Source organism: Homo sapiens, chromosome 15 (assembly GCF_000001405.40).
Source record: "Homo sapiens chromosome 15, GRCh38.p14 Primary Assembly".
Taxonomy (NCBI): domain Eukaryota; kingdom Metazoa; phylum Chordata; class Mammalia; order Primates; family Hominidae; genus Homo; species Homo sapiens.
In genome coordinates, this window is record NC_000015.10 from 97,941,803 (window position 1) to 97,954,182 (window position 12,380).

At 41.8% G+C, this 12,380-nt stretch overlaps 1 long non-coding RNA gene across 1 annotated transcript; it reads right to left on the minus strand.

Moving 5' to 3' along the window:
• Positions 1–3,367: 3,367 nt before the first annotated feature.
• Positions 3,368–8,216, minus strand: LOC124903585 (uncharacterized). Its single transcript, XR_007064805.1, has 2 exons — positions 5,963–8,216; positions 3,368–4,516 (listed from the first exon to the last, which is right to left on the minus strand). It is a non-coding gene; the product is annotated as an uncharacterized LOC124903585 (long non-coding RNA).
• Between the last annotated feature and the right edge of the window lie 4,164 nt (positions 8,217–12,380).

Below are 12,380 nucleotides of genomic sequence, written 5' to 3' on the forward strand. Positions count from 1 at the left end.
TGAGAGGCCAAGGTGAATGGATCACCTGAGGTCAGGAGTTCAAAACTAGCCTGGCCAAATGGAGAAACCCTGTCCCTGCTAAAAATACAATAATTAGCCAGGTGCGGGGTTGCATGCTTGTAGTCTCAGCTACTTTGGAGGCTAAGGCAGGAGAATCACTTGAATCCAGGAGGCAGAGGTTGCAGTGAGCTGAGATTGCGCTACTGCACTCCGGCCTGGGCGACAGTACAAGACTCTGTCTCAAAAAAACAAAAACAAAAACAAAAAAAAAAACAAATAGAACATGGCAGAGAGGCATTTCCATTTTCCACTTGCTCTCTTAAATTGCTTGCTTTGTGGGAGTTAGCATCATGCTGATATTTAAGCAGCCTGTAGAGAGAGGCCCTCAGGGAGAATAACTGAGGCCTCCAGCCAACTACCAACTTGCCAGTCACATGAACAAATCACCTTGAAAGTGAATCCTACCTCAGATTATTACAGCCTGGCCAACATCTTCTCTGAAACCTCATAAGAGGCCCCAAGTCAGAACCTCTCAGCTAAAATTGCAATGGATTTCTGATCTTCAAAAACTGTGTGAGATAAGAAATGTTTTTTATTAGTTTAAGTTACTACATTTTTTGCAGTAATCGGATGTGCAAAATGAATGATGGGTACAATGGCTATGATAACCTCAGCTGGAATAACTCATCACTGCTCTACATGGACTCTAGTCTTCCATCATGCTAGTCCAGATCTGTTCTCAGGGCTTTACAAATGTTTTGGTCAGGGCTCTCCAGAGAAACAGACACAATAGGATATGCATGTGCTAGGGTTTGGACGTTTCCCCTAAAAAGCATGTATTGGAAACTGAATCCTCAGTGCAACAGTGTTGGGAGATGGGGCCTAATGAGAGGTGATTAGGCCATGAGGGTGAAGTACATGAATCTATGATGTTATTGCCAGAATGAGTTTCCCATAACAGGAGGAGAACGGACCTCTTTACTCTTTCTTTCATCCCCTTTCCCCTTTTGCCATGGGATGACACAGCAAGAAGGCACTCACCAAATGCCAGCCCCTCAATATTGGACGTCACAGCTTCCATAACTGTGAGTCAATAAATTTCTATTCATTATAAATTACCGAGTCTTACCTATTCTGTGATAGCAGAACAAAAGGGACTAAGACAGTGTTCATATGTGTTTCTGTGTGTATTCAGAGAGAGAGAGAAAGAAGGGGAGAGATTTATCATAGAAACAAGCTCATGTGATTAGAGAGGCTTGAGAAGTTCCCACAATCTTTTCTGGAAACCCAGGAAAACTGGTGATGTAATTCATTCCACATCTCAATGTCCAAGAACCAGGGGAGTCAATGATATAACTTCCAGTCTAAGGCCAAAGGCCTGAGAACAGAGAGGCAGGGGCAGTGGGGGCAATATGAGCCCCAAAGTCTGAAGGCCTGAGAACCATGGGTTTCAGTCTCCAAGGGCAGGAAAAGATGGATATCCTAGCTCAAAAAAAGGAAGTGAATTCATCCTTCCTCTGCCTTGTTGTTCTATTGGGGCCCTCAATGGATTGGATGATGTCTGATCACATTGGTAAGGCCTGATCTTCTTCACTCAGTCAACAGATTCAAATACTGATCTCCTTCAAAACACCCACAGAGACACATCCAGAAATAATGTTTTACCAGCTATTTGGGCATCCTTTAGCCCAGTGAAGTTGAAATATAAAATTAACCATCACAACAAGGTTTAGTGAAAGCATATGATTACAGGGCACCCTGAGGCCCGTGCTCAGAAATGGCATGTCGACTATACCATTGGCTAAAGTGAGCACCAGGCCAGCCCAAGTTCAAGGATGGGGAGATAAATACCTCCCCTTGAGGGAAAAAGCTTCAAAGTCACATGACAAGGAGCAAGGATTACAAGAGGAAAATATCTGAGGTGACTTTTGTAATCCATCTACCACAATTGAGTTTGTCAATCAAGGTGTTTCCTCTCCTTTGTCCCAAGGGTGGGTTTTCCATCCAAGCAAGGGCAGTCAAGTGCTCTCTACCTCAGGAGTCTTGGATGGAGGACCTCAAGGGGGAAAATGAATGGTTTTATGCTGATGATGAGCGGTTTGAAGAGGTGCGGCATTCATTCTTGCTGCTACATTTCTGTAGCTGCCCTACTTTCTGTTCTGTATGGTTCTTTAGCTAGTCCTTTCTGTAAACTGCCATGTGCTTTCCAACAAACACCATTCTTTTCTAGTCAAGTTAGCCAGAGTCCGTTTCTGTGGCTTGCCACCAAAGAAGCCTACATTCCCGGTCACTATCCCTGTGCCTGAGACCTTGGCAGCACGGAGCATGTGTCTGCATGGTTTCCTTAGGAAGTGCTTCTAATAAGCACCGTGTCCTTTACAAGAGGTACAAGCCAGAAAATGCCATAAATAAAGCACTGAGAAATCTCTCAGAACATTACTGGCATTTTAAAAATAGCTTTTAAAACTCTTTAAACTTCCTTAAGGACAAACATAATACAAATGCAAAGCAATAGCAATGAATGCAACAACTACCCTGAAATGTTATTTTCTGCAAAGGCTGAATTGTCTAGCAGCATTTCCATGTGGCAGTGCTGCTGTCTGCCATGGTTATTGTATTCCAGAGGAGGCCAAAGATTTTGACAATTGTACCAAATATTCATATTTAGGCTATGAAGTCAACTGTCTCCTGCCTCATGCTTTCCACTGACATATGGCAGCTTCAGGCCGCTGTTCTATTTGCTTGTCTATAGCAATTGAGGTTTACAATCTCTCCAGGCATGAAATACTTAATAAATTCTGCTTTCCGCTGGTCATGTTCCCTTACTACACTACATGGTCATGTTTTCCGCTGCACCAATTGGGGATGACAGAAGGTATCAACTCCCTTTTCGGGTATTTAAACTTTGAGCAGTCATCTGTATTCAGAAAGAGTGCCCATGAACTTCTGAGAGCTTGGCTTACGCAGACCTGAGAGTGTGAAAGATGCACAATCAGATCCTCGCGAATATATTTCCCAGTCTACGATCAGCAGCTTCTAAAATAAACTCATCAGTGCGTCTTTCGGCTGGAGTTCCAGCAGTTGTTAATCAGGGGTGGGCTTTGGCGTCTGACAGTAGAGACAGCGCGCCCTAGTGATTAAGGACGCAGCCTTTTAGCCCAAAAACCATGAGTTCCTGTCTTGGCTCTACTTCTTACTACTTGAGCATCTTGGACAAACTACTTAACCCTTCTCTGGGCCTCAGTTGCCTCCTGGGGAAAACTGTGTCAAAAATAGAAGCTGCCTCATCATGTTCTTCTGATAATTAATATAACAATATATGTAATCCACTTAGCACAGAGCTTGGAACATAGGAAGCACTCAAACGGAATTGCTACTGCTTTTATTATTATAATTACTAATACTGCTACTGCTAATAATAATTTAACATGCCAGGAGCTTCCAGACTGGAACAGCAAGACAAGGTACATTTGACTCACCAAGCGGCAGCAGCAGACTAGTGCTAGTCCACCCGGGATTCGCATCAGTCCTCAAGGGCAGCCACCTGAGAAGGTAGGGCTGGAGCTCAGAGTCTGAGGTCAACACTAGACACTGTCAACATTTCACCTCCACACTCTATCCAGGTTGGACCAAGAGTGTCAGAAGCAGAGTCAGAGCTCAGAAGAAAGGTGAGAACTCATCTAACTCTCAGAGCTGGGCTCCAATCTCAGCAGAGAACTGAAGTAGCTGCCTGGACTTTGGCTGTGGACTGACGTCCACCGAACACCCAGAACTCTGGTCATGCTGTGCTGGCTTGGGCAGTGGAAACTCTCCAGACCCATTCCACCAGCAGAAAGGAGAAGCTTCTGCAGTGCTGCCAAGTCTGGCTCTCTATCAGACTGAAGGCAGTGCCTTAATGTGAGCTGGTCCTTGTATGTAGGGCTAATACCATCTCGCTCTCTGAGCTGCAGGAAGAGATACACTTGACAAGGAAAGGGAAAAACATAGAGCCCGCAGTGACAGCACATCTGACACAATCACTGAGAGTTGCTCCAGGAGACAGCAGGGCTGATTACCTAAAACAGGAGGCAGTAACTGGCATGTCAGATACCTGAGGCTTCAGGGCTAATCTGTCCCCTCTCCAAAAAACGCCAGCGCTGTTGCAGGCTGCCAGCTGCAGAGACACTCCCAACAGATCCTCTAGGACCTTGCTGCTCACAGTGGTTCCCAGAGGGTGCCAGAATCTGCATATTTAACAAAGTGCCATGGGGTTCAAATGCACACTTCAGTTTAAGAAGTTCTGTTAGGATGTCCTTTCCATTGATGGAATTTAACCAATTCACCAGCCCTGGTTTCAAAATAGACTGAAGTCGAGGAATGCTGAAGGCAGGAAGCATATCCCTCATTTCAGAAAGAAGGACGGAGTCTATTAGTGATGTTTTTTGGTTCATGAGAACGTTACGAAGTAGCCAGTATTAAGACCATCCCAGCCAAGCAGAGACGAGGGGTTGGAATGAGTGGAAACCAGTGAAGAAATCTGAAAAGAGGCAGAAATTTGGAGCATGAGCATAGAAAGACACTCCACTCGACCTTGACTCTCACAACCTATTTTGTCATCATTTCCTTCACTGTTTGCTCATCTTTATTGTTAGTTTCCCTGCATCATTTGTGGTTTCGAGAACATCAGAGTCACTCAGCTGTGCCTAATACCAAGGAAAGGTGACTTTATCTAGGTCGGAATGTAGGGGGCAGCTGCTGGAGTCCCCTGGGAACCAAGAACAGGTGGCAAGAGCAGGCACAGACTGAAGAAACAAGGACAGAAAAGTGAAGATCTGGGGAAGCACGCAGTACCACCTCTCCCTAACCTGTAGACTTTCCTTCTTAAAAACTGTGTCTGCAGGAAGGGGAACATCACACTCTGGGGACTGTTGTGGGGTCGGGGGAGGGGGGAGGGATAGCATTGGAAGATATACCTAATGCTAGATGACGAGTTAGTGGGTGCAGCACACCAGCATGGCACATGTATACGTATGTAACTAACCTGCACAATGTGCACATGTACCCTAAAACTTAAAGTATAATAATAAATAAATAAATAAATAAATAAATAAATAAATAAAAAGAAAAAAAATCAGTTCAAAAAAACAAAACAAAACAAAACAAAACTGTGTCTGGCCGGGCGTGGTGGCTCACGCCTGTAATCCCAGCACTTTGGGAGGCCGAGGCGGGCGGATCACGAGGTCAGGAGATCGAGACCATCCTGGCTAACACGGTGAAACCCCGTCTCTACTAAAAATACAAAAAATTAGCCGGGAGTGGTGACGGGCGCCTGTAGTCCCAGCTACTCGGGAGGCTGAGGCAGGAGAAGGGCGTGAACCCGGGAGGCGGAGCCTGCAGTGAGCCGAGATCGCGCCACTGCACTCCAGCCTGGGGGACAGAGCGAGACTCCGTCTCAAAAAAAAAAAACAAAAAACAAAAAAAACTGTGGCTGAGCCTTTGTGTGGGCATGAATTTCATGAAGGTGGGTGTTCGCTCTGTGGTTCCTAAAAGATTGGTGTCTGCGGATTCATCTCACAACTCTCTGAAAGCGATGAGCCTTCCCCCCTTCTTGCCTCATCCCCCAAATATAAAGACTCACGTACCCTCAAAGCTTGGCATGCAATTGCAAGAGTTTATGGAGCCCCTTGATTTCAGGGTCCTCAGGTTAAGAATTCACACTTGGTACCTTTCATATACTTTTATTTCTTCATTGGAGCTATAGCTTTAAACCTTGACCCTATCATTGTTTACCAGCTTGCTTTCCATTGGGTGACAGCAATGAAAACAAACTCACCTTTCAGGCAATAAGTGTTGGGAGCCTTAGTCCTCACTCTGGATGTGTGCTCCCCTGGTGATTCTAAAGTCTAGCCCTGGTAGAGAACCACTGTTCCCAGGTGCCTTTGCCCTGGGCTGTATCTGGGCTAAGCGATTGGCACCAGCTTACCTTCCCCTGTTCGTGCCTCTCAAAGCCTCCTCTGCATGAGAAGCCGGTGTGCCCAAGCCTGGGAAATGTGAGACGGTGAAGAAGCAGCTCCTCTATTCATTTATTTTTCACTCAGGCACAATCTTGCTTAAGTCCTAATCATGAAACCTATAAAAATACTAATAAAAGCCGAGTTTAACCAACACCTGTCAGTAAGTTATGAATCTTTGTCTCTGCCCCACCATGTACAAAGGTCACTCACAAGCAGGGTGGGGAAAGCCTCTGACCTCTCCCACGACGCCTTTCCGTGCGTGTGCTTGTGAAGCCGCAGGTGAGTCACTTCGTGTTTAGTAATCAGACGCCCACGCATAAGTCCACTCTGGATCTTTGTGCGTACCTCACTTCCACAGACATTTTAAGAGGAAATGGGTTTTTCCAGTCAACCCTTGAAGTAAGTTACTTCTTTGAAAATCACTGAGCAATATATTTATTGGATATTGGATATTGATGGATATTGGATATTGGCAACAAAGGTGATACATCATTTAACTGGCAGTCTTAAAGCTCAGCTTGGAAAACAATTCATTACTTCTCATGGCTTCTTTACCAAAAATTATCCTAGCTTTTTTCAAGAACAGAATGAATGATTGCCACATCTTGGTAAGTGGTTAATATCTGGCTTCTCTTCTAGAATGTTCAAATCAGCCACTGCTCGGGTACACAACCTATCAGGATATGATGCTTTGGGAAAAAAAAGTGTCTCAGCAACGAGGTTTTCCTTCAATAAAATGTTAGTTCTTACACTACAACCCACTGTGTCCAATTGTAAAGAACTTCTGGTTCAGACTCAAAGTTATGATAATCAATTAATCTTCTTTATTAACAATAATTTAAATGCCTCTTCTACCCCAGCCTAAATTCAATGACTAAATGAGAAGGATTATTTCTATCTTGCTAGTAAGAGCAAAAGAATATTGGGCCTAAGACAACTGATATGTCTTCATTGTTTCGCTAAGTAATCCATAATGCTGTGGCTTGAGGCAAGAAATCAAGGCTTGTTCCTTAACTTTTAAGTTTAAGCGTACATGTGCTTTTTGGATATGGATCTTGTACCTCAGCACTTGGTGGACTACATCTGTTAGAAGACAGGGCTTGGACATAAAGTTGCCTAAGGTCCTAGTAGATCACAGGCTAGTGGAGAAAATAAGGCATTAAAATGATATGGTATTAAAATGATAAATCCACTCATAACTTCTAAATTTTAGCTTCCCTGTCTTCTCTGAACTGTTTGACTTTACAAGTGAACAGTATTAGGCTCAACAGATACACGTTGTTATACTGGTAAATTTGTGTCATGGGGGTTTGTTGTACAGATGGCTGTGTCACCTAGGTATGAAGCCTAGTACTCATTAGTTGTTTTTTCCTGATCCTCTCCCTCCTCCCACCCTCCACCCTCCGATAGGCCCCAGTGTGTGTTGTTCTCCTCCAAGTGTCCATGCGTTCTCATTTAGCTCCCACTTATAAGGAACAATACGCAGTAATTGGTTTTCTGTTCCTGCCTTAGTTTGCTAAAGATAATGGTCTCTAGCTCCATCCATGTTCCTGCAAAGGACATGATCTTGTTCTTTTTTATAGCTACATAGTATTCCATGATGTATGTGTGCCACATTTTCTTTATCCAGAGTACCATTAGTGGGCATGTACATTGATTCCATGTCTTTGCTATTGTGAGTAGTGCTGCAATGAACATACATGTGCATGTGTCTTTATAATAGAATAATTTAAATTCCTTTGGGTATATACCCAGTAATGGGATTGCTGGGTCAAATGGCATTTCTGTTTTTAGGTCTTTGAATAGCCACACTGTCTTCCACAGCGGTTGAACTAATTTATACTCCCACCAACAGTGTTCCTTTTTCTATGCAATGTCACCAGAACCTATTACATTTTGACTTTTTAATAATAGCCATTCTAACTTGTGTGAGCTAGTATCTCATTATGGTTTTCATTGCATTTTTCTAATGATCAGTGATGTTGAGCTTTTTTTATATGCTTGTTGGCCGCACATATGTGTTCTTTTGAAAAGTGTCTGTTCATGTCCTTTGTCCACTTTTTAAATGGTGTTATTTGTTTCAGACTTGTAAATTTATGTTCCCTATAGATACTGGATATTAGACCTTTGTCAGATGCATAGTTTGCAAAAATTTCCTCCTACTATGTAGGTTGTCTGTTCACTCTGTTGATAGTTTTCTTTGCCGTGCAGAAACTCTTTAGTTTAATTAGATCCCATTTGTCAATTTGCTTTTGTTGAAATTGCTTTTGAAACCACAGTTTTAAGTCAAAGTCTCATATGTCTTTGAAAAGCAGTGTCCCAAGATGTTCAGTTTCACGAGAGAAGTGAGACACCTGGTTTTGAGTGAATGCTTGGTTGATTACCTGGTATCCTTATTACACATCTTTATGGAAAATAGCCTAGCTGAGAACATCCTTAAAAATGCACACAAACCCAATAACTCAAACTCCTGAAATTTTTCACAGGATGCAAATGATATCTGAAGCTCCCTTTACATATTGTGATTACAAAATGTGCTTTTAATGCGAGCTAATAAAATACATTTCTTCTCTCTATCTCAATGAGAATATCTTTTCTTATGCAGAGAAAGAAGGAAGACAGTCAGAAATGACATGATTACCAGCTACAGTTACATGAAATATACATACACGGACATACATGTTTTTACTCAATAATTTATGACCAGCCCGACTTTGAGGAAACTGAGGCCTAAAGAATTCAAGTGGCTTGTCATAGGTCACACCATCAGGAAGTGGTAGAGCCATGACTCCAAATCAGACCTATCAGACTCAAAGTCCACCTCAGCCACCATCACCTTGTCAACAACAACAAAGGCCTCGATGTGTTGAGCACTTTCTGTTGACCAGACATCTTCTATGTAATATTTCATTTACCATAACAAGCCCACAATAAAGATGTCATTAACATCTGAAGCCTAGAGAGTCCCTTCCTCAATTTTATGCAGCAAGTGCTGAAAATAAGGCTTGCTCCCAGGAACCAAAGCCCCTGATCTTTTCACTGTCCCTGGGCCTTGGCATGCAGCAGAGACCTACCTGCCTTCCACATACCTCTAAACCTCACACAACACACCATGCTTAACAGCATGCAGGTCTGTAGCTGATGCTAAAGGCTAACAGTGCCTCCAGCCTGGCAAGGAACAGAGGAAGCTGGAAGGTTCTCTGTCGAGCCTGATACTGTTCATTTGTAAAGCCAAACAGTTACAAGGACACAGGAAAGTTAAAATTTATAAGATAGAAGTGGGTTTATCATTTTAATACTATATCATTTTAACACCTTATTTCCCCATTAGCCTGTGATCTACTAGAACCTTAGGAAACTTGATGTCCAAGCCCCGTATTCTAACAGATGTAGTCTCCAAGTGCTGAGGTACAAGATCCATATCCAAAAAGCAACAGGTTTCCTCTACACTAGCAATCACCAATCCAAAAACGTCAAGGAGAAAAAAAAAAAAATCCCATTCATCTAAAATACTGGGGAAAACGCTTATTATGAAATAAATCTAACCAGAAATGTGCAAGGCTTATATGAAGAAAAATGTAAAATGTCACTGAAGAACACATAAATAAATTCCTGGATGAGAAAACTCATTTAAAAATGCTCGTTCTCTGCAATTTAATGAATAAATTCAATATTTTCCCAATGCTATTTCAATCTACCAGAATTTTTATAAAAATCAAGCGAGTCCTGGCTTCTTTTCTGAATGAGAAAATATTTTAAAATAGCCAAAATAAAAAATTTAAAGAAAAGAATTCTGGTAATCCTTGCCCTACTAGTTATCAAAACGTACTACAAGAAAACCTGCAATGAACAAAAAATGTTGTTTTGGTGCAGAAATAGACAGTAGATCAGTTCAAGAGAAAATAAACACAGACTGATGGATTTATATCAATTAATTATGTAATAAAAATGAATATTCCATTCAGTGGATAGAATGCAGTGGATTCCATTCTGCAAGATAAAAGGCTGAATGATGAGAACGCATAGACACATGGTGGGGAACAAAACACACTTGGGCTTGTTGGAAAGGGAGGTTGGAGGAGTGAGAGCATCAGGAAGAATAGCTAATGGATGTTGGGCTTCACACCTAGGTGATGGGATGGTCTATGCAGCAAAGCACCATGGCACCCGTTTACCTATGTAACAAACCTGCACATCATGCACATGTACCCCTGAATTTAAAACAAAAGTTGGAAATAAAAAAGAATAAAAATGTACAAGATGAGAGGAAATATTTTTATTATATAACACCAAGTTTTAATACCCAGAATACATTTAAAAATGTATAAATCAATGAGAAAAAGGAAAAATAACATAATGGAAAAAAGAACAAGAAAGATAAATTGCCATTTCATAGAAGAAACATGCCATTATGAATGTATTCTCAACTTCAATAATATTCTCTCATATTCTTAAAAAAGTAAATTTAGGCTGGGGGCGGTGGCTCATGCCTGTAGTCCCAGCACTTTGGGAAGCTGAGGCAGGTGGACTGCTTGAGGTCAGGAGTTCGAGACCAGCCTAACCAACATAGTAAAACCCCATCTCTACTACAAATACAAAAATTAGCTGGGCGTGGTGGCGGGCGCCTGTAATCCCAGCTACTCGGGAGGCTGAGGTAGGAGAATCGCTGGAACCCGGGAGGCAGAGGTTGTAGTGAGCCAAGACAGTGCCACTGCACTCTAGCCTGGGAGACAGAGCAAGACTCCATCTCAAAAACAAACAACAACGACAACAAAAAACAAAAACAAAAAAGTAAAACCACAATGAAATATCGTTTTTTTATCCATTTAGTTGGCAAAAATCTCAGACGAGTTATATCCAATGCTGGCAATTAAAAAACAATCTCACTCACTGTACTTGAGAATAAAATCTTTGGGAGGGCAAATATACCATTAGGTTCCTATGCCGGGGAAATAGACATGCAAGGGAGTTCAGCATTATTATTATTAATAACCCTAAATCTAAAGTAACATAAATGCCTATTAGTGAGGCTAAGGTTTTTTTTGTTTTTGTTTTTGTTTTTTGAGATGATGTCTCACTCTATCACCCAGGCTGGAGTGCAGTGGCATGAACTCAGCTCACTGCAACCTCTGCCTCCCCGGTTCAAGCAATCCTCCTGCCTCCCTCCCGAGTAGCTGAGATTACAGGTTCTCGCCACAGTGCCCAACTAATTTTTGTATTTTTAGTAGAGATGGAGTTTCATCATGTTGGTCAGGCTGGTCTCGAACTCCTGACCTTAAATGATCCAACCACCTCTGCCTCCCAAAGTGTAGGGATTACAAGCGTGAGCCACCGCACCAGCCAAGTCTAAGATTATATAAAGAATGGTGCAGTCACACAATGAAATCCTACGCTACTCATGAAAACTATGAAGCAGACCACAGAGTTTGAAATGAAGACAAGCAAGGTGCAGATCCCTCAAGAAAGGTGTGATTTTCAGTGTGTGCGTGAGCATGTAAGGCAAATATATACAATTATATAAGACAGGTTTTATGTCACATAAAAAATCCGTGTGTTCCTAAACGCACATGTGTTTGCAATTGCATATGCAAAGCTGGGAGCAGTGAATATTGCTTCAGACCAAGGGAGAAGGGTGCTGATGGGTGGAAGGGCCTGCACGGGACCAAAAGATTAGCATGGGCCTCACTCACACTCACGTGCTCTTTGCCATGAGTCTGTTGGAAAACACAGTGTCTTAATTCTCTGGACTTCAGTTCAAAACGTGATTTTTTTAAAGCTGTTATAGTTTCCACCATTTTCATAATCATTTTATTATTTAATTCAATTAGAATACTTCATGAGCCACTAAATATTTATAAGCAGGTTTTTTTAAATCAATGATAGAGTCAGTTATCGCAGGGCAATTTCAATTGGAACTGACCTTCTTAGGGGAAAAGAGATATTAAAGGGCAATCATGTAGAACGAATAATGTTTCGTCACAGACGAGCTTTTCCCATTGATTCTGCGTTCAATATAAATCTAATTATATTTATTGAAGACCCGTAATCATTACTCATCTTATGTGTCTTGATTTCATGTTTGCTTGCTCAGTTTTAGTAACGGCAATGCAATCTACTATTAGTTCATTCGTGGAAACTCTTTCCTCATTCTGTTCATTCTGTTGTAATTGCAATACAACTACGTTATGTATGTGTAAACCATGACATAAGAAGGCAGGACCTTTTCTGCTATTCAGAATAAGATACCTTTAGCAAAAGGATCCTGAGCCCTTATAGTAACCTGTCTCTTCATCAAAATAAAAACTGAAACAAAAACTGTCTCCAATGTTTTCATTTGTTTTGTTTTTGTTTTATTTTATTGTCCTGTTATTAGTTGTCTTCTTCCCC